This window comes from Homo sapiens, chromosome 4, assembly GCF_000001405.40.
Source record: "Homo sapiens chromosome 4, GRCh38.p14 Primary Assembly".
NCBI lineage: Eukaryota > Metazoa > Chordata > Mammalia > Primates > Hominidae > Homo > Homo sapiens.
The window spans coordinates 84,754,170-84,777,114 of record NC_000004.12 but is presented as its reverse complement, the minus strand read 5'-3'; the positions used below and the strand labels follow the sequence as shown (position 1 = coordinate 84,777,114).

The 22,945-nt window shown below is 36.0% G+C and overlaps 1 protein-coding gene across 29 annotated transcripts in view; it reads left to right on the top strand.

Annotated features, from left to right (window-relative positions):
* WDFY3 (WD repeat and FYVE domain containing 3) overlaps window positions 1–22,945 on the top strand; it is a 297,094-nt gene that overhangs the window by 189,576 nt on the left and 84,573 nt on the right. For 26 of the 29 annotated variants that reach the window (XM_011531759.3, XM_047449858.1, XM_011531763.4 and 23 more), the window contains 7 exons: window positions 1,977–2,050; window positions 2,134–2,295; window positions 4,186–4,280; window positions 10,743–10,863; window positions 11,088–11,305; window positions 19,954–20,189; window positions 21,715–21,849. In XM_011531759.3, the coding sequence (XP_011530061.1) occupies window positions 1,977–2,050; window positions 2,134–2,295; window positions 4,186–4,280; window positions 10,743–10,863; window positions 11,088–11,305; window positions 19,954–20,189; window positions 21,715–21,849 (1,041 nt within the window). The remainder of the gene's footprint in view (window positions 1–1,976; window positions 2,051–2,133; window positions 2,296–4,185; window positions 4,281–10,742; window positions 10,864–11,087; window positions 11,306–19,953; window positions 20,190–21,714; window positions 21,850–22,945) is intronic. The other 3 variants (XM_047449855.1, XM_047449853.1, XM_011531761.4) reach the window with 1 other exon arrangement.

Here is a 22,945-nt window from a genome sequence, read left to right as displayed (position 1 = left end):
CCATTCCCCTAGTCACCAAGTCTTGAAATTGAAAACATCAGCTTCCTTCTTCCCTGTGTATAAACAGTCTGATATTGTCATATAGGTTCTACTTTCACATTTCGTAGTCTGCCTTTTCTGCTTCTACTGCTATATCTTAATTCAAGCCCTAATCAATTCTTCTCCTATTCATACTAGGATAACTATCACTTCTTTTTCCCTTTGCTCAGGCTGTCCTACATACCCTTGGGACCTCATTCTTTCAAAGGCATAATCGTATCATTTATTCAAGGACTTTCAGTGATTTTCCTTTTCTACACTATAAAGTACACATTTCTCAGCCTAGTATTCAAAGTTCTAATATCCAAACCTCTTATTCTTTTAGAAAGCACTTGCTGAGTATTTTTGAGGCAAACACTATATTAGTTACTAAGGATGTGAAAAGAAAAAGTAAGAGTCCACAGCTCAAGGCATTTAGTCCATTAGAGGAAAAAGACAAAGAAATAGATAATTTAAAACTTGTGAAAGCCCAGAGATGGTAGACAGAAGGGATTATGGGAACACTAAGAAGACCTACCTAACCCAGCCTAACCTTGTTTTCACCTGGTAACTGACACATTTAAATCAAGGATTATCTTCAGTTTCAGATTTCTGATTAAAACTCAATATACAAACATCAGAAATTTAGTTGCTTAATAAATTTTGCTTTATTTTATAGTACATTGCTCACTTTATGGCTTCTTATAGCATCCCTAATTACTCCAAACCACAAGTAGTCTATAAATACCTAATTTACCAAATTTTTAGAATACTCATTTGACAAATATAAGTAAAATAATTGCAATGCCATGTACAATTTTTAGTGATTGTTTTAGAATTTATTATGTGCATCTAAAACAATTCAGTCTATCTTTGAAGAATATTATACCTTATAAATACTTTGCAATAAGAGACTTTCATTTCTCCCATTTTTATGCTATTGTATACATTTACTTCTATATGTTTATAATCCCTACGATAGTTTGTATTATTTTTGCTTTAAATGATCAATTATTTTCAAAAAACATTTTACAATTATTTTCTGTTTGACTACATATATAGTATTTATAGCATTCTTTATTCCTTTGTGTAAATCTCCATTTCCATCTTGTGTAATTTTTCTGCCTGGAGATTTTTTTTTAACATTTCTGTATTACAGAAATATTGGCAGTGAATTCTGTCATCTGGAAAAGTCTTCCATTTCTTTCTTCCTTTTTGAAGGACATTTTTGCATGGAATAGAGTTCTAGTTGACTGTTTTTATTGTTTTCACACATTAAAGATGTCAGTCATTTCATTGTCCCCTTTGTCCACTTAATGTTTCTTCTGCTTGGGTTTATTGATCTGTGAGTTTGTCATTTTCATCACATTTGAATTTTTTAGCCATTATTTCTTCAATGATTTTTCCTGCCACTCCCTTCCCTTTTCTGGACACCAATGACACATATCTTAGATTGCTTGATACTGTCTCAAATCACTCATACACTAAATCTGGTCATTTCTTTTTAGTATTTTTTTCTTATGCTTCATTCTGAATAATTTCTATTGTTATGTCTTCAAGTTTATTGAATTTTTTTTCGGAAGTATCTCATCTACTATTAATGCCGTCCAGTATATTTTTCATTTTAAATATTTTATTTGTCATGTCTAGAGGTTCATTAGGGGGCTTTGGTTGTCTTTCATTTGGCTCCTCGTCATGTGCATGTTTTTCAATACATTCTTTAGCATATGGAGGGTATTTGAACTAGCTTTGTAAAAGTGTGATAATTCCATCATTTTGGTCATTTTTTTGGCCAATTTATAATGATTTTTTTTCTGCATATAAGTGGTTTTATAGAACTTTACAAGATAATAATTATATAAGTGAAATAAGTTCCATGTGCTGTATTGGTGTTTGTTGGTTTGGCATTTGGGCATTTTTTTTAACCTTAAATATACTACTGTTTTTATTTATTATAGGTCTGGCTCCATGCACCATATGAACTTCATCTTTCCTTATTTGAACACTTTATTGAACTGCTCACAGAGTCCAGGTATTAATTAATACCCACGTAGTTAATTATTCAGCTATAGAAAAGGTGATAGTACAGTGTATAAAATCTTCTTTCTCTTATAGTGAAGCCTCAAAGAATGCCAAATTAATGAGAGAATTCCAGTTAATCCCAAAGCTGCTCCTGACTCTTCGAGATATGTCTTTATCCCAGCCTACTATTGCTGCTATTAGTAATGTCCTGAGCTTCTTACTGCAAGGTTTTCCTAGCAGCAATGATCTGCTCAGGTAGGAAAAACTTCTTTGTCTTTGTCTTTTTATTAACTAAAAGTACCAATGAGGTTAAGATGGATGAGATGAATTTAATTGGTTTTTATGACTGTGTAATAACACCTGTAATGTTAATACGATTCAAAATATTTATGACGCATGGAAAACATGAATGAGACAATATCTTGCCTTGATGGAGCAAAGCTAATTGTTGCCACTAGTGAATAGTAGAATATTGGTGAGAAAAGATGTAGGAATTAGCCCAATGAAATTGGCCTGGATATAAAGTATTCAGTCTAGGAATTCTTGGTTCCCAATCCTATTTCCCAAGCCCTGCTAATTTTTAAATGTATGTGCACAAGCACGCATACACACTCCTAAATAGTGGGTGTGCCACCGCTATTTTTTATTCTCTGTCATTCAAACAGATTATGGTATTTTAAATCTGTTGCATATCCACACTTTTTGTATGATATAAGTATTATTTTGCAGACAATGCAAAATGCGGTTTAAGGCATATTGAAGGCATGTCTGTAGAAATGTTCTTATGTTCACATGATAATCCCCATTTTGGAAAATTTGGGGATTATAGAAGGAAAACAAGAAAAACAAACTACACAATTGAATATTTTTCAAGTAGAGAATTGCTTAAACTGGACTTGGTCACTACTGTTCGTTCATGTGATCTACCAAGTATCTCAGGTGAAATCACACCCATTTATTCAGTTATTCTCATGGACTAACCTCTAATCTGTATAGTTTGTAAGTCACTCACTTTTTTATTAATTTGCCTTCAAAACATATTTTTAAACCTGGGGGGCCGGGTGCAGTGGCTCACGCCTATAATCCCAGCACTTTGGGAGGCTGAGGCAGGCGGATCATGAGGTCAGGAGTTCAAGACCAGCCTGCCCAACATGGTGAAACCCCATCTCTACTAAAAATAGGAACAATTAGCCAGGCATGGTGGTGGGCACCTGTAATCCCAGCTACTTGGGAGGCTGAGGCAGGAGAATCACTTGAACCCGGGAGGCGGAGGTTGCAGTGAGCCAAGATCGCACCACTGCACTCCAGCCTGGGTGACAAGGGTGAAACTCCGTCTCAAACAAACAAACAAAAAATCTGGTGGCAGATCTAAAACTTTAGCTTAAGAATTATTTTGGAGAATTAATTATAATTATCATTATGTCAAGAATGTATATTTAAAGCAATTCCTAGCATTGTAATGGTCACTTTGCTGAAATTATTCCCTAAACCTGTAAAAGTTTTTGTTTTTTTCCCTACTTTATAAATGAAGAAACAAAGCCCCAGGTCACGTAATTCGAATGTGATACAGTCAGGATGTTTTTTCTTCTCCTGTTCCCCCTACTCCAGGAATTTAATCATATATGTAAACCCAAGTTCTTAACTGCTAGGCTACAGTGGATCCATCCAGATAATGTTAGGACATTCGAATATGGATCATGTTGTTTGGTTTTTGAAACCATTTGCATGTTAGTGCATTAAAGAATTCATATTTCGAAGAACTGTATTTTCCCCATATTTTAAAAGCATTATTTTATATAATGTTACTTGGGATGGTCCAAGAGGAAGCAAACTAAATATTATCACCTAATGGTCCTTAAAAGGCTAGTTAAGATAAGAAGTACAAAGACATGCCCCCACACTACTCTTATCTTTCTCGCTGGTGGTATGCTGTGAAGGACTGAGTGGGCAACAAGGAAACTAAAATCTCCAGATGATCAGAACATGCATTTCTTTCTGCAAGTGAATAAAATGAAATGAGATTATGAAAAAAAAAAAAAGTACTGTTTTGGTTTTTATTCTTTGTATTTTGTTTCTTTGTACTTTGTTGTTTGTTTTGGGAAGAGGAAAAAGAAAATCCATAATCTTGTTTTCCTTTGTTTAAAGATTTGGGCAGTTTATTTCTTCTACTTTGCCAACCTTTGCGGTTTGTGAGAAATTTGTAGTAATGGAAATAAATAATGAAGAGAAGCTTGACACTGGTAAGTTGATTCTGGAGCTTGGAGAAGATAGTGGTCAACTAAATATTATGCCTTTTTTCTTCTGGCCCAAATTAGACCTGAATTACATGTGATTATATATAATATATGTATAACTTTTCTCCTTACATTACGTTTTTGGCCCTTCTCTGATGTATTTGTCTTATATTAAGCCTATACAGTATTGCCTACAAAATTTAATAGGGTGTGAATTTTACTTCAAAAATAAAATATTTCCTATTTTTAGAGTATTCATAGCAATGTTTCTTTAAATAGCAAACTCTTCCTGTGTGATTTGAACATTATTTGATTTTTTAAATGTATGTATATCTCTTCAGAAACATGATACTTGCTAAACTAAATTATATCCATATATCTGTATTACTATTATTTTCACTTCCCTGTTAAATATTTAGTAGTCACTGAGAAAAATAACATAGTATCACTTTATGTAAGTATAATATAAAAATAATTTCATAAGTTGTAAGTTCCTGGGTCCATGACAAGTACTTTTTTTGGAAACCTTTCCTCATTTAGTACATATATATCCTCCCTCTGTTCCCATATGTTTTTCTTGTTGTATATGCTAGGACAGGAGAGTTGCTTGGAATGCATTGAAAGGACCTTTTTTTAGGTTGACCTCTGGAATTAAATTCTCAGAATCTTATATTTGTTCAGCCTTATTTACATTATTACCCTATTATATTATTCCCAAATCATATCATATAGATTATTTAAGTCCATACAACCCCATCTACCTGGAGGGTGGAGAAGAACTGTTGTAGTATCACTTCCTCCCAAAGGGGTTCTCCATGATGTCTGTCCTTCCCGAGCACAGCCTCTCCTGTGCTTCATGAGTAGGAGAAAGTGGTGTGATTACAATTTTCAAAGGAGAGATGGAGAGATTTGAAAAACTAAGTGACTTGCTGCAAATCACACAGTATGTTAGTGACAGGTTCAGGACCCTGACAGTTACCTACTGCCAATTCATTTAGAATGATGCTGATATTTCTCTGGTGAAGCAAATTAGCAGTGGATGAGAAGTATAAAGATCAGATCAATGAATAACACTTATTGAATACTTACTAAGTGCTCTATATAATTTTGTAATAACCATATGAAATAGGTACTATTATTCCAATTATACAAGGGAGGAAACTGCAGCCCAAAAAGATACAAGTAAAAGAAATTTATCCAATATCATACCATTGACTATATAGGAACCCAGGTAGTCTAAACAAGCATTCTAAGCTTTTAACTACTACATTTTCCTACGAAATGCAAAGATTATTTCTAAGTTCTAAATTAATATAGGCTGACTAATTATAATTAGGTAGTGAAAGTGCTTTAAAGATTGCTGAAATATGTAATGCATTTATTTCAAGTATAAAAAATATGTGGGCTGAACATGGTGGCTTACACCTGTAATCCCAACACTTCGGGAGGCTGAAGCAGGTAAATTGCTTGAGTCCAGGAATTCAAGACCAGACTGGGCAACATGGCAAAGCTCCGTCTCTACAAAAAATACAAAAATTAACCAGGTGTGTTGGTGTGCACCTATAGACCCAGCTACTCAGAAGGCTGCAGTGGGAGGATCACTTGAGCCTGAGGAGGCTGAGGCTGTAGTGAATTGTAATTGTGCCACTGACCTTCAACCTGGGTGACAAGAGTGAGACTCTGTCTCTAAAAACAAACAAAAAAAGGTGGGAAAAATATTTATCTGGTTTCCATATTTATTTGCTGTCCATTGAATTCAGTAACCATAGTAGTGTTGTAAATTTTTCTTTCATATAGAACATTGAAGTAGGGATGTATAAATTAGTAAATTTTTCTTTTGATATGCCAAGTTGATTAGACTGATACTCTCATCAGCTTATTGTCATTTGAAATAATAAAGTCAGAAGCAAATTGCTAGTCTTGTTAGTGTATGACATTTATTATTTATTTGATATGCACTGAAGACTTTATTGAGTATAATGTTCTAAAAAATGAAAACTGTGGCAGTAAGAAAAGGAGACATAAAAGTTAAATAAAATTTTTAATTTCTGTCTAGATTATTACTTTATTGTAGAAAAATTTAAAGGAAGTAGCTCTTAGAGTAAGTTTTGTGATATTCTTTTGATAAGGCAATTTTCAAATTACCAGTCTCTGTCTTCTTAGAAGAGGTGAGGATCTTGGGTTCTTCTTGGTAGCTTGAAGTATCCATAATGATTAAGGTACTAAGTTAGCATTTTAAAGGACAGTTTACAGGTACATTGTTCCAAACAAGTAGAAGTATATAACCATGAAACTTTAGCCTGAGCGTTAGTTCTAGAAAGAAGGAAAGTATAGGAATACCTCAGAAATATTGCAGGTTTAGTTCCACACCACTGCAAATGAAGCTAACATCACAATAAAGTGAGTCACATAAATTTTTTGGTTTCCCAGTGCTGTAAAAGTTATGTTTACACTATACTGTAGTCTACTATCTGTGCAGTAGCATTGTATCTTTTAAAAAATGTATATAACTCGGCCGGGCGCGGTGGCTCACACCTGTAATCCCAGCACTTTGGGAGGCTGAGGAGGGCGGATCATGAGGTCAGGAGTTCGAGACCATCCTGGCTAACATGGTGAAACCCGTCTCTACTAAAAATACAAAAAAATTAGCCAGGCGTGGTGGTGGGCGCCTGTGGTCCCAGCTACTCAGGAGGCTGAGGCAGGAGAATGGCTTGAACCTGGGAGGCAGAGCTTGCAGTGAGCAGAGATCACGCCACTGCACTCCAGCCTGCGTGACAGAGTGAGACTCCGTCTCAAAAAAAAAAAAAGTATATAACTCAGTTTAAAAGTTTTTTATTGCTAAAAAATGATAACAATCATCTGAGCCTTCAGCAAATTGTAATTTTTTCTGGTGGAGGGTGTTTTCTGGATATTGTTGGCTGCTGATTGACCAGGGTGGTGGTTGCTGAAGGTTGAGGTGGCTGTGGCAATTTCTTAAAATAAGACAACAATGGTTTCAGGTGATGGACATGCTAATTATTCTGATTTGGTCATTACATATGGTACACATGTATTGAAATATCATACTGTTCCCCATGAATGCATACAATTATATGTCAATTAAAAAAATAATAAAAGCAGGCCGGGCGCGGTGGCTCATGCCTGTAATCCCAGCACTTTGGGAGGCCAAGGCGGGTGGATCACGAGGTCAGGAGATCGAGACCATCCTGGCTAACATGGTGAAACCCCGTCTCTACTAAAAAAATACACACAAAAAAAATTAGCCGGGCATGGTGGCAGTCACCTGTAGTCCCAGCTACTCGGGAGGCTGAGGCAGGAGAATGGCGTTAACCCAGGAGGCGGAGCTTGCAGTGAGCCGAGATCGCGCCACTGCACTCCAGCCTGGGCGACAGAGTGAGACTTCGTCTCAAAAAAATAATAATAATAATAATAAAAGCAAAAAAAGACAATATAGTTAGCTATAACAATGGACTCTTCCTTTCACAAAAGTTTTCTGTGTGGCATGCGATACTGTTTGATGGCATTTTACCTATGGTAGAACTTCTTTGGAAATTGGAGTCAATCCTTTCAAAAACTGTCACTCCTATATCAATTAAGTTTATGTAATATTCTGAGTCCTTTGTTGTTATTTGAACAATGTTCAAAGCATTTTGACCAGAAGTAGATTCCATCTCAAGAAACCACTTTCTTGTTCATCTGTAAGAAGCAGCTTCTCATCTGTTAAAGTTGTATCATGAGATTGCAGTAATTCAGTCACATCTCTAGGCTTCACTTCTAATTCTAGTTCTCTTGCTGTTTCTACCACATCTGCAGTTACTTCTTCCACTGAAGTCTTGAGCCCCTCAAAGTCATCCATAAGAATTGGAATCAACTTCTTCCAACTCCTGTTAATGTTTATATTTTGACCTCTTCCCATGAATCATGAATATTCTTAATGGCGTCTAAAGTGGTGAATTTTATCCAAAATATTTACTTTATTTTGGCCAGATCCATCAGATAAATCACCATCTATGGCAGCTATAGCCTTAAGAAATGTATTTCTTAAATAATAAAACTTTGAAGTTAATTCAAAGTCAAGATTACTCCTTGATTCATGGGCTACAGAATGGATATATTAGCAAGCATGAAAACAACATTAATTTTTTTGTGCATCTCCATCAGAGCTCTTGGATGGCTAGGTGCATTGTCAGTGAGCTGGTAGTATCTTGAAAGGAACCTTTTTTTCTGAGCAGTAGGTCTGAACAGTGGGCTTAAAATCTTCAGTAAACCGTACTGTAAGCAGATGTGCTGTCATCCAGACTCTGGTATTTCATTTAGCGAGCATAGGCAGAGTAGATTGAGCTTTATTCTTAGGGCCCTAGGATTTTCAAGTTGATCAATGAGCATTGGCTTCCACTTAAAGTCACCAGCTGCATTAGCCTCTAACAAGAGAGTCAGCTCTGTTCTTTGGAGCTTTAAAGCCAGGCATTAACTTCTCCCCTCTAGCTATGAAAGTCCTAGATGGCATCTTCTTCCAATAGGAAGTTGTTGGAAAAAAATCTGTTGAGAAGTCTGTTGGAGAAATCCGTTGTTTAGCGTAGTCACTTTCATTAATTATCTTACTAAATCTTCTGTATAACTTACTGCAGCTTCTACATCAGCACTTGCTGCTTCGTCTTTCACTTTTGTTATGGAGATGGCTTCTTTCCTTAACCCTCATGAACCAACCTCTTCTGGTTCCAGCTTTTCTTTGTTTTTTCTTTTTGTCTATTTGTTTTTGAGACAGGGTCTCACTTTGTCACACATGCTGGAGTGCAGTGGAACAATCATGGCTCACTGCAGCCTCGGCCTCCTGGGCTCCAGCGATCCTCATACATCAGCCTTCTGAGTAGCTGGGACTATAGGTGTGTGCTAACACACCCAGTTCATTTCTTCATTTTTTTAGAGACAGGGTCCAACTATGTTGCCCAGGTTGGTCTCAAACTCCTGTACTCAAGAGATTGTCCCACCTCAGCCTCCCTAATGTTCTGTTACAGTCACGAGCCAGTGCACCTGGCCCCCAACTTTTTTTCTGCAGCTTTCTCAGCTCTCTCAGCCTTCATAGAGTTGAAGAGAGTTCAGGCTTTGCTCAGGATTATGTTTTAGCTTAAGGGAATGTTGTAGATGATTTAGTCTTCTATCTAGACCAGTAAAACTTTCTATCAGCAATAAGGCTGTTTCTTTTCTTTTTTTTTTTTTATCATTGCGTGTTCACTGGAGTAGCACTTTCAGTTTTCTTCAAGAATTTTTTCTTTGTATTCACAACTTAGCTAACTTTTTAGCACAAGAGGCCAGCTTTGGGCTTGTCTGATCTTTCAACATGCCTTCCTCTCTGAACTTAATCATTTCTTGCTTTTGATTTAAAGTGAGAGATACATGAGTCTTTCTTTCGCTTGAACATCTAGGTGCCATTGTAGAGTTATTACTTAGTCTAATTTCGATATTATTGTGACTCAGGGAATAGGGAGGCCTGAGAAGAGTGAGAGAGATGGGTAAATGGCCAGTCGGAGCTGTCAAAACACATTTTTTGACTAAGTTCACTGTCTTATAAGAGTAAGACAGTGGCACTTGTAAACAATTATGATAGTAACATAAAAGATCACAGATGACTGTAACAGATATTACAATAATGAAAAAGTTTGAAACACTGTAAGAATTACCAAAATAAGACAGAGACATGAAGTGAGCACATGCTTTTGAAAAAAAAAAATGGCCTGATTGGACTTGCTGTATGTGTGGTTGCCACAACCCTTTAATTTGTAAGAAACACAGTATCTGCAAAGTGCATTAAAAGGTGTGCCTCTGTGAGGTCTGTGACTCAGTAACTCATAGCTCTGCTGGAGGAGAGCTGGGCCTAGAACTCTGGGTTGTTGATGCCCAGTTCTGTGTACTTGCAGTACTATCTGAGAATGTCTCAGCTCCATTTCTTCGTTTCTTCTCTAATTTCTCCTTTATGCGTTTGTGCGCCTTTGCCTTTCTTCTGTGCTATTTAATTCTAACTTTTCTTTATGTATTACGTTTACTGAATAAGTCTATGCTTCCTATTTTCAATTTTTAAATCTGGTAGAATTAACTGTATCTTTCAAAAAAGAAACTAAGAATTAAGGATTTGAGAGGTTAAGAGTCAGTGGTGATTATTATTTTTATTCACATGGTCCTCATTTGATGACTTTCCCCCTACTGGGAAGGCAAGGGGAATATTAATGTAAAAAATATCTCACAGCCTTATTATCAGTAGTTTAGGAAATGTCAAATGTAAATGAACAATTTTCGGAGTTCTAAAGAGAAATATTTAACTGACCCTTTTTCTTGTCCATGTTGGTGAAAAGCAGTCCTGGAGAAAATGTTTTCTAAAAGATATATTTTTCAGTAAACTTTCCAAGAACTATGTTGTAAATTTTCTTTTAGCTTATCTACTAGGGAGATTTAATGTATTTATTTTTATTTTAGGAACTGAAGAGGAGTTTGGAGGTCTTGTATCAGCTAATCTTATACTTTTGAGGAACAGACTTCTGGATATCTTGCTAAAACTAATTTATACATCTAAAGAAAAGACAAGCATTAATTTGCAGTAAGTAAATCTTTTTTAAAAGTGATTATACCAGTTGCTACTACTAGTTAATTCATGTTAGGCAAAAGAAGGAATTGCCATTGACTTTAAATAGATTTTTTTAACCCTGAAATTTATAGTATCTCCAGAATGAAACTCAGTCTTCTTTTTCCTTTTTGATTTGAAATCCTAATTTCTGAAATTAATTTTGTTTTTTGTTTTTTAAATCCATCTGTCTTGAATAGAGCTTGTGAAGAACTGGTGAAGACACTGGGTTTTGACTGGATCATGATGTTTATGGAGGAACACTTACATTCCACCACAGTTACAGCAGCCATGAGGATTCTTGTTGTCCTACTAAGTAATCAGTCTATTCTCATCAAGTTTAAAGAAGGACTCAGTGGTGGAGGATGGCTTGAACAGACAGATTCTGTCTTAACTAATAAGATTGGAACTGTATTAGGTATGGGACTTTTCTAGTCAGCTGCTTGAAAATGAGCTGGTGTGTTTTGTTTTATTTTAAATTTTATGTAAACTTATCCTCTGCGGTTTGATCACCATTAAGGAGATATTAATTTTAATTAATGATAGAAGGAAGAGCTTACAAGATTTCAAATTAGTCCTTTTAAATGGCAAATCAAACTGAAGACAGAGATAACATACTAAGATTTGAAAACTCAGGGAATTCCTCAAGATCTTTTTGTAGTATAGGCCTTACTGATCTGTAAGTAAATAATTAGCAAATTATCAGTAGTAGAACTAAATTAATAATAATAATAAATATTTATTTTGAGTACTTACTGTGTGCCAGTTCCTAAACACTTGCCAGGCAATAACATTTCATCACAATAACTCTGTGAGGTGCAAATGCTATCATATCTATTTTGCAGATTAGGAAACCAAATTCATTTTATTTAGTTCCAAAGCCTATGCTTTTAACATTTATGTTATATTGCCACACAAGGATTTAAGCTCACTAGTACCATAGCTATTTTCAGCCTATAACTGAGCATTTACCTAATGTTAGAAAATTGCAGTTTACTATGCTAGATTTATTTGAACTCATATGTTTCCATTCATATTAGTAATATTACTTTGGAAAATATATATTTGAAGATACTGTCTTTATTTAAAGGCAAAGTCATTCAGTTAAATAATTTTAAAAATACATTTGTCATGTAACATTGCCTTGTAAATCATATCTAATTGTTTGTGTGTCTGATCTTAAGAAGCTGATATTGAGAATATCTATTTACCTTGGTCCGATGGGAAAAATAGGGATTAGAATTTAATATGTAATTCATTTATAGAAAAAAAGTTTAAGTATCAGTGTCTAGCTGCTGCCTGTACTACTTCTTTAAACATGAAAGCAAATTATAGGAAGACAGATCTTTTTTTTTTTTTTTTTGAGTCGGAGTCTAGCTCTGTCGCCCAGGCTGGAGTGCAGTGGCACGATCTTGGCTCACTGCAAGCTCCACCTTCCGGGTTCATTCTTCCTGCCTCAGCCTCCTGAGTAGCTGGGACTACAGGCGCCTGCCACCACGCCCGGCTAATTTTTTGTATTTTTTTTTTTTTAGTAGAGACGGGGTTTCACCATGTTAGCCAGGATGGTCTCGATCTCCTGACCTCGTGATCCACCCGCCTTCGCCTCCTAAAGTGCTGGGATTACAGGCGTGAGCCACTGCACCCAGCCATAGGAAGACAGGTCTTTCAACATAGTACTATTGTATTGTTATTTCAGATGTGAAGAAGGTCTGAAGAAACTTTGTATGTGATAAAGGAAAAGTAATATCATTTCCATGTCACAGTGAAATGATTTCTAAAGAAAATTGTCTGCTTTATAATATACATTTTAAATGATCATCATGGGTACTTTTGTGCTCAAAAAATAGATCACATTTTACATGAACTCTGGGGAAGGATTTAATCTACAGATATGATTATTTTGAACATTTTGGTAGTAAGAAGTTTCGTTTATTGGCCTTAATAATACCTACTGGAGAATAAATAACGAAAGGCACAACTGAATGTGAGTTCTGTTGAATATGCAAGGTTTAAATGCTAATTGACAGCAATGCTTATTTTGAAGGCCAACAGCAGCAGTAGTAATAACGCCTGAGATTTATAATAGTACATTGTGGTTTGCAAAATTAGTTCACATATATCATCTCATTTGTCCTTCATAATTCTGGAGACAGGCATATATTTTATAGCATATAAGTTTTATTTTCTAGAAAATAAGCCTAATGAATATAAAGTAAGGATTAATTTCTCTAATTAGGAAATTAAGACTGTTAACTACATAAGGTTATTTCGCTAGGCAGTAATACTCTCTAAGAATCTGTCTTTTGTTAGTCCTGTGCTTTTTCTGTCCTGCGTCACTTTAGTAATATTAGAGAGAGGTGCTTTCACTGTGTCTGACCTACCTGATTTCATGCATTAGAATCTTTTTGTCCTTCATTGGTACTTGCATGAGCATGCATATGCTGCTCCTATATCTAGGTATTCAATTTAAATTTAATTTCAATTTGACCCCACTTAACTTAATTTTCCCTGAATATCTATCTGACACATACACATTTTTGTGTATGTAAACAAGTGTACATATCAGCTCATTTGATTCTATTTCTCCTTGATCGGAATGGCAACCTTTTTTTTTTTTACTTTTTTATTCACATTTATTGGTTTTTGTAAAATTTTTCTTTATAAAAATAGATTTTTTAAAATTTTACTTTAATTTCTGGGATACATGTGCAGAACATTCAGGTTTATTATGTATGTATACATGTGCCATGGTGGTTTGCTGCACCTATCAGCCCGTCATCTAGGTTTTAAGCCCCACATGCATTGGGTATTTGTCCTAATTCTCTCCCTCCCCTTAACCCCCACCCTACAACAGACCCCGGTGCATGATGTTCCCCTCCCTGTGTCCATGTGTTCTCATTGTTCAACTCCCACTTATGAGTGAGAACATGCGGTGTTTGGTTTTCTGTTCCTGTGTTAGTTTGCTGAGGATGATGGTTTCCAGCTTTGTCCATGTCCCTGCAAAGGACATGAACTCATTCTTTGTTATGGCTGCCATAAAAATCTTTCATGTAGCTGAAACTTGTATCTAAATTAATGCTTAATCGTGATATATTAAATATTCCTTAAGATTAATTATAGGGGAAAATAATGTGAGAGGAGAGGAAAATGAGAATGCCAGTTTTTTGGTTTTTTTTTAGGACTTGCAATGTAATCAAAATCTATTTTCCTATTTAATGTATAAAATAACCACTTGATGTCTTTTGGTTTCTTTTTCACTTTTTAAATTTTTTTTATTTTTTAGAGATTGGGTCTTGTTATGTGGTCCAGGCTAGACTTAAGCTCCTGGGCTCAAGCAGTCCTCCCATCTCAGCCTCCTGAGTAGCTGAGATGCCTTTTGATTTCTTAGAGCTCAAAACATTGTTTAATCTTACAATTTTATTTAGAATTTCTATAAAGAAAAATCAGCACGATCTCCTAATTAAGCCATTCTAATTAAGCCAATCTTTCAGAAATGTGGCAGTTTCATTAATGAGGGCAAAGAAAACAATAATTTTACAGACTCTAAAATGGAGAAATGAGTTGTCAAATCATAGTGCCTCCACTTATGCCACATTGTGACTTTTTTTTTTATTATTATACTTCAAGTTTTAGGGTACATGTGCACAATGTGCAGGTTAGTTACATATGTATACATGTGACATGCTGGTGTGCTGCACCCACTAATTCGTCATCTAGCATTAGGTATATCTCCCAATGCTATCCCTCCCCCCTCCCCCCACCCCAGAACAGTCCCCAGAGTGTGATGTTCCCCTTCCTATGTCCATGTGTTCTCATTATTCAGTTCCCACCTATGAGTGAGAATATGCAGTGTTTGGTTTTTTGTTCTTGCGATAGTTTACTGAGAATGATGATTTCCAGTTTCATCCATGTCCCTACAAAGGACATGAACTCATCATTTTTTATGGCTGCATAGTATTCTATGGTGTATATGTGCCACATTTTCTTAATCCAGTCTATCATTGTTGGACATTTGGGTTGGTTCCAAGTCTTTGCTATTGTGAATAGTGCCGCAATAAACATATGTGTGCATGTGTCTTTATAGCAGCATGATTTATATTCCTTTGGGTATATACCCAGTAATGGGATGGCCGGGTCAAATGGTATTTCTAGTTCTAGATCCCTGAGGAATCACCACACTGACTTCCACAATGGTTGAACTAGTTTACAGTCCCACCAACAGTGTAAAAGTGTTCCTATTTCTCCACGTCCTCTCCAGCACCTGTTGTTTCCTGACTTTTTAATGATTGCCATTCTAACTGGTGTGAGATGATATCTCATTGTGGTTTTGATTTGCATTTCTCTGATGGCCAGTGATGGTGAGCATTTTTTCATGTGATTTTTGGCTGCATAAATGCCTTCTTTTGAGAAGTGTCTGTTCATGTCCTTTGCCCACTTTTTGATGGGGTTGTTTGTTTTTTTCTTGTAAATTTGTTTGAGTTCGTTGTAGATTCTGGATATTAGCCCTTAGTCAGATGAGTAGGTTGTGAAAATTTTCTCCCATTTTGTGGGTTGCCTGTTCATTCTGATGGTAGTTTCCTTTGCTGTGCAGAAGCTCTTTAGTTTAATTAGATCCCATTTGTCAATTTTGGCTTTTGTTGCCATTGCTTTTGGTGTTTTAGACATGAAGTCATAATGGTAAAGGGATCAATTCAACAAGAAGAGCTAACTATCCTAAATATATATGCACCCAATACAGGAGCACCCAGATTCATAAAGCAAGTCCTGAGTGACCTACAAAGAGACTTAGACTCCCACACATTTATAATGGGAGACTTTAACACCCCACTGTCAACATTAGACAGATCAAGGAGACAGGAAGTCAACAAGGATACCCAGGAATTGAACTCAGCTCTGCACCAAGCAGACCTAATAGACATCTACAGAACTCTCCACCCCAAATCAACAGAATATACATTTTTTTCAGCAACACACCACACCTATTCCAAAATTGACCACATAGTTGGAAGTAAAGCTGTCCTCAGCAAATGTAAAAGAACAGAAATTATAACAAACTATCTCTCAGACCACAGTGCAATCAAACTAGAACTCAGGATTAAGAAACTCACTCAAAACCGCTCAACTACATGGAAACTGAACAACCTGCTCCTGAATGACTACTGTGTACATAACGAAATGAAGGCAGAAATAAACATGTTCTTTGAAACCAACGAGAACAAAGACACAACATACCAGAATCTCTGGGACACATTCAAAGCAGTGTGTAGAGGGAAATTTATAGCACTAAATGCCCACAAGAGAAAGCAGGAAAGATCCAAAATTGACACCCTAACATCACAATTAAAAGAACTAGAAAAGCAAGAGCAAACACATTCAAAAGCTAGCAGAAGGCAAGAAATAACTAAAATCAGAGCAGAACTGAAGGAAATAGAGACACAAAAAACCCTTCAAAAAATTAATGAATCCAGGAGCTGGTTTTTTGAAAGGATCAACAAAATTGATAGACCGCTAGCAAGACTAATAAAGAAAAAAAGAGAGAAGAATCAAATAGATGCAATAAAAAATGATAAAGGGGATATCACCACCAATCCCACAGAAATACAAGCTACCATCAGAGAATACTACAAACAACCTCTACACAAATAAACTAGAAAATCTAGAAGAAATGGATAAATTCCTTGACACATACACTCTCCCAAGACTAAACCAGGAAAAAGTTGAATCTCTGAATAGACCAATAACAGGATCTGAAATTGTGGCAATAATCAATAGCTTACCAACCAAAAAGAGTCCAGGACCAGATGGATTCACAGCTGAATTCTACCAGAGGTACAAGGAGGAGCTGGTACCATTCCTTCTGAAACTATTCCAATCAATAGAAAAAGAGGGAATCCTCCCTAACTCATTTTATGAGGCCAGCATCATCCTGATACCAAAGCCGGGCAGAGACACAACCAAAAAAGAGAACTTTAGACCAATATCCTTGATGAACATTGATGCAAAAATCCTCAATAAAATACTGGCAAACCGAATCCAGCAGCACATCAAAAAGCTTATCCACCATGATCAGGTGGGCTTCATCCCTGGGATGCAAGGCTGGTTCAATATATGCAAATCAATAAATGTCATCCAGCATATAAACAGAACCAAAGACAAAAACCACATGATTATCTCAATAGATGCAGAAAAAGCCTTTGACAAAATTCAACAACCCTTCAGGCTAAAAACTCTCAATAAATTAGGTGTTGATGGGACGTATCTCAAAATAATAAGAGCTATCTATGACAAACCCACAGCCAATATCATACTGAATGGGCAAAAACTGGAAGCATTCCCTTTGAAAACTGGCACAAGACAGGGATGCCCTCTCTCACCACTCCTATTCAACATAGTGTTGGAAGTTCTGGCCAGGGCAATTAGGCAGGAGAAGGAAATAAAGGTATTCAATTAGGAAAAGAGGAAGTCAAATTGTCCCTGTTTGCAGACGACATGATTGTATATCTAGAAAACCCCATTGTCTCAGCCCAAAATCTCCTTAAGCTGATAAGCAACTTCAGCAAAGTCTCAGGATACAAAATCAATGTACAAAAATCACAAGCATTCTTATACACCAATAACAGACAAACAGAGAGCCAAATCATGAGTGAACTCCCATTCACAATTGCTTCAAAGAGAATAAAATACCTAGGAATCCACCTTACAAGGGATGTGAAGGACCTCTTCAAGGAGAACTACAAACCACTGCTCAAGGAAATAAAAGAGGATACAAACAAATGGAAGAACATTCCATGCTCATGGGTAGGAAGAATCAATATCATGAAAATGGTCATACTGCCCAAGGTAATTTATCGATTCAATGCCATCCCCATCAAGCTACCAATGGCTTTCTTCACAGAATTGGAAAAAACTACTTTAAAATTCATATGGAACCAAAAAAGAGCCCGCATCCCCAAGTCAATCCTAAGCCAAAAGAACAAAGCTGGAGGCATCACCCTACCTGATTTCAAACTCTACTGCAAGGCTACAGTAACCAAAACAGCAAGGTACTGGTGCCAAAACAGAGATATAGATCAATGGAACAGAACACAGCCCTCAGAAATAACGCCGCATATCTACAACTATCTGATCTTTGACAAACCTGAGAAAAACAAGCAATGGGGAAAGGATTCCCTGTTCAATAAATGGTGCTGGGAAAACTGCCTAGCCATATGTAGAAAGCTGAAACTGGATCCCTTGCTTACACCTTATACAAAAATCAATTCAAGATGGATTAAAGACTTAAACGTTAGACCTAAAACCATAAAAACCCTAGGAGAAAACCTAGGCATTACCATTCAGGACATAGGCACGGGCAAGGACTTCATGTCTAAAACACATTGTGACTTTGAACAAATCATGTTTTCTATGTTGTAAAAATGATAATAGTAATTTCTGCCTCACATGTTCATTGTGATTAAGGAATGATATGGGAAAGAGTTTTTTAAATTGCTATATAATTTTTTTATTAATTAGAAGAGCATACTTTGGAGTTAATCACGTCACACTGAGGAATTGGTTAGGATAAAATATTTTGAAAGCAACCTAGACATAAATTTTTCCTTTATTATATAAAATAGCAGTTGTAATATGTACTTTGCTGCACTCCAGAAAAAAAGAAGTTGAAAAAAATATGGATATCTTTGCTGAGTGCAGTCTCTCATGCCTGTAATCTTAGTGCTTTGGGAGGCTAAGACGGGAGCATCATTTGACACTAGGAGTTTGAGACCAGCCTGAGCAACATAGCAAGACCTTGTCTCTACCAAAAAATTTTTTTAATTAGCCAGGCATGGTTGCATGTGCCTGTAGTGCTAGCTACTGGGGAAGCTGAGGCGGGAGGATCCTTTGAGTCCAGGAGTTTGAGGTTAAGTGAGCTACGATCATGCCACTGTACTCCAGCCTGGGCAACAGAGTGAACCCTCAGATCTTAAAGAATAAATAATAAATGCAAATATCTATTTGAAATACAAATTGCTTCAGACCGAAATCAGTTCCTCATCTATTAGTTGCTATTCACAAAAGTTTCCATTGAAAATTTGACAAACATTCACTGTGTACTGAGTACTTCCCTAGGTATGAGGTGAACCACATGCTTAGGGTGTATCCTGAGTTTCATTATAAAACAGAGGAAACAAGATTGATGGAAACACTGATGCCATAAGCTACATTAGTAAGAACTGATTATCTCCTTAAAAAGCTGGGTTTCTAGAGGGAATTCTGGATGTTAAGTTCAGCCAGTGGATAGCTGCAGCCACAACGGGCTTGGATTTACCATCCCACTGCCCAGCAGCTTTCCAACAGATTACAGATCATGTTGTGAGTAAAGATTGTTTTACTTACTCATTTAGTCTTGTCTCTAAATTCATAGGTAATTTAAGGTTAACTAGTTTTTCATGATTTTCAGGACAATGAAATATATTAACTACATTATAGCAAGTTACAAAAATTAGCTGGGGGTGGTAGCTCATGTCTGTAGTCCCAGCTACTCAGGAGGCTGAGGTGGGAGGACTGCTTTGACCCTAGGAGGTGGAGATTGCAGTGAGCCAATATCATGGCACTGCACTCCAGCCTGGGCAACAAAGCAAAACTGTGTCTCAAAAAAATAAAAATATATCATAACAAGGATATTTTTAAGTTATGTTTTTGTAGCATTCTAAATTTTGGCTGTATTTTGGATTTCACTTTTTTCTTAGGGAACTACAAGAACACTAGAGCTCTTCTGAGGTCTTTCATTTAATAAGTAGAACTTACAGCACCTTAAGAAGGATTTTCAAACTCCCTTGTATCTTATTGTCTCAACTGTGTTTCAAAACCTATATCCTAATAGACAGGTTTGCTAAAGTCAAACAAATTGTAAAGTAAAACTTTTAACTGAAGATTAATTCAACAGTTGAATACTTAATTGCCTATAGTAGTATGAATGTTCTGGATAGAAATGTTAACACATACTGAATTACTTCCTTCTTTGTTAATGCAGCATGTTTATCAGTTGCTGATTTTGCACTTACTGTTATATTCCTCTTCTCTTAGGATTCAACGTGGGCAGAAGTGCTGGTGGGAGATCGACGGTCAGGGAGATTAACCGAGATGCTTGTCATTTTCCTGGTTTTCCAGTCCTTCAGTCATTCCTTCCTAAACACACTAATGTCCCTGCCCTCTATTTTCTCCTCATGGCCTTGTTTCTGCAGCAGCCAGTTAGTGAGCTGCCTGAGAACCTGCAGGTCAGTGTGCCTGTCATCAGCTGCCGGAGTAAGCAGGGTTGCCAGGTAGGAATTATCTAGCAAGGGGTGCGTGAAATTACGTATTCCAAAGAATCACCGTAGGATAATGGATAATCACTGTAAAACCAACTGTCAATTCCATCACTTTCCCCACATTTAAGGTTTGATTTGGGACAGAAAAATCTGAAAATACCACAGAAAATTTTCCCAAAAAGTCCTTTGTCCCTATTTACAATTTTTTCCTATATGATAACTCTGTATATTATAGATGCATAAAGACTCTGGATGATATTTAATGGTGATCTAAAGAACTCTTTTGTTATATGATTTATTTTATTTTATTTTATTTTATTTTATTTTATTTTATTTTATTTTATTTTATTTGTGAGACAGAGTCTTACTCTGTCACCCAGGCTAGAGTGCAGTGGCATGATCTCAGCTGATTGAAAATTCCACCTCCCGGGTTCAAGCGATTCTCCCACCTCAGTCTCCTGAGTAGCTGAAACTACAGTCAGGCGCTACCCCGCTGGGCTAATTTTTGTATTTTTAGTAGAGACAGGGTCTCACCATGTTGGCCTAGCTGGTCTTGAACTCCTGACCTCAGGTGATCCACCTGCCTCAGCCTCCCAAAGTGCTGGGATTACAGGCGCGAGCCACTGTGTCCAGCCTGTCATGTGATTGATTTCTGCAGAATTAAAAATGAAAGGAGTGGCTTATATACCATAAATTAAATATCACTCCTCGAGTGGGTATGACAGGATTCTCAGTGCAAATTCGGATTAGGAAAAAAAAATTACTTAATGATAGATAGCATCCACATTGGGAAAATAGTAAGACTTTACTTGACTTCTAATTGAAGACTGTTAAAGATGTCTGTATATAGCTTATGTTTGTGGCACTGTAGGAATTTAGCTTTTAGACTCAACTACACTTCCATCCTAATGCCAAATGCTATTCAAATCAATTCTAGTAGTTGACAAAATCTTTTAAGTGTAAACACTTGAGTCTGTGCCCTTAGATTAAATTAAGATACAGATTCATGCCTAGCACAGTTGTATTGGTTATGCAATTTTTCAATATCCATGGTGCCATAGTCATAAAGTTTATATATAAAACTGCTATTAATAAGTCTTAAATTAATTTTATTTTATCAGATTTATCTGTAAGTAATCTAAAATTAAAATACTGCTGAGAATGGGAAAGAAGTGAGCTTAATGTGCTTTGTTTAAAAGATCTTGCTTAAATTTATTTGTTCTATAATTTTATCTCTTGGCTAATTAACATGTATTTTATTTTTATATTCTTTAGGAAAAAGGTAGAAAGCAATGTTTTTAACATAGGTACCTAAGGCAGAATGCAGAATGATACACAGTATTCAATTTTTTATATCTATAAAAATGAGTTTTAAAATGTAGGATGGAAGGGTACTAGTTCTTTATGTCTATATCATTGGTTACTTTTAAAAACAACAAAAAACTAGTTTCAAAGAAATTTTAGCCTATTAGAACTTATGAGGGTCTCTACTGAAAAATTAGTGGTGGCTAATATTTGCTCCCTTTCACCTCTGCAGTTTGATTTGGATTCCATTTGGACATTCATCTTTGGAGTTCCTGCCTCCAGCGGAACTGTGGTCTCTTCTATCCATAACGTATGCACAGAAGCTGTTTTTTTATTATTGGGAATGCTCCGCAGCATGCTGACTTCAGTAAGTTCACTCAAATGCCCAGGCCTATTGAGAATTCCTCCTGCCTAGGATACTTTTTTGTAAATAGAGGAATTTTTTGGTAACATAACTACTTTATTTACTGCATGATCTCTGGAACTTCAGACTCTTATGTTAGACAAAATTATATCTAACGTAAGAACAGACTGTGTAGTTGTTAAGACCGTGCACTCTGGAGCCCTACCTGGGTTAAAATCTCACCTCTGGTACTTCCAATCTATTATCCTCAGTTATGTGCCTCAGTTTCCTGGTGTTTAAAATGCCGACAATAATAGCATGCATCTCTTAGGGTATTTGTGAGGAATTAATAAGATAGTGTATACACATAAAGCACTTATAAACATGGCTGATACATAATAAGTGCTTCGTAAGTATTAACTTATTAATGTAATAAAATATATAATAATGAGTACATATATAATGAGTACATATTTGTAGTATATGTTATTACAATAATATGTTATTTCAACTTTTAAAGTCACTTTCATTTAGAGGTCAGAAATGTTAACAATACAAGTTTCATTTGATTTTGTTTTTGCTTTTGTTCTGCTCTAATTATGTCTAACTTAGAGATGAAGAATTGAAAGAGTAAAAGACAGAACTGATGTTCCTGTTGATCTGACAGGAATACTGTGAATAATGACCAGATTTGTTTATACAATTTAGGATTGTGTTGTAACAGGAAATATTAACTTGACTCCTTGAATTACATGTACCTGACAAATCTAATTTCAGTCAAAACTATTGTTGTATCATCTAAGAACAGAACATTACCATTAAATGTATTAATTTAGAATGTTTTAGGAGTCTCGTTTTGGTGCCTATTCATAAACAACTATAAAGACATAAGAAAAGTTTTTTAAAAGATACTCTCTGGGCAGGTATCAGAAGATATACATTGTTCAAATATACAGTATTCATTTTTTTATCATCATCATTGTTGTATTACATAATGCTTAAGAGTGAGGCTCAGAAAGGTGAAGTAACTTCCCTACCTTTTATCTTACTCCTAACTTAGCATGATGCACGATGGGGCAACATTAATGGTAATACAGCCACTTTGGTACCACCAACACTC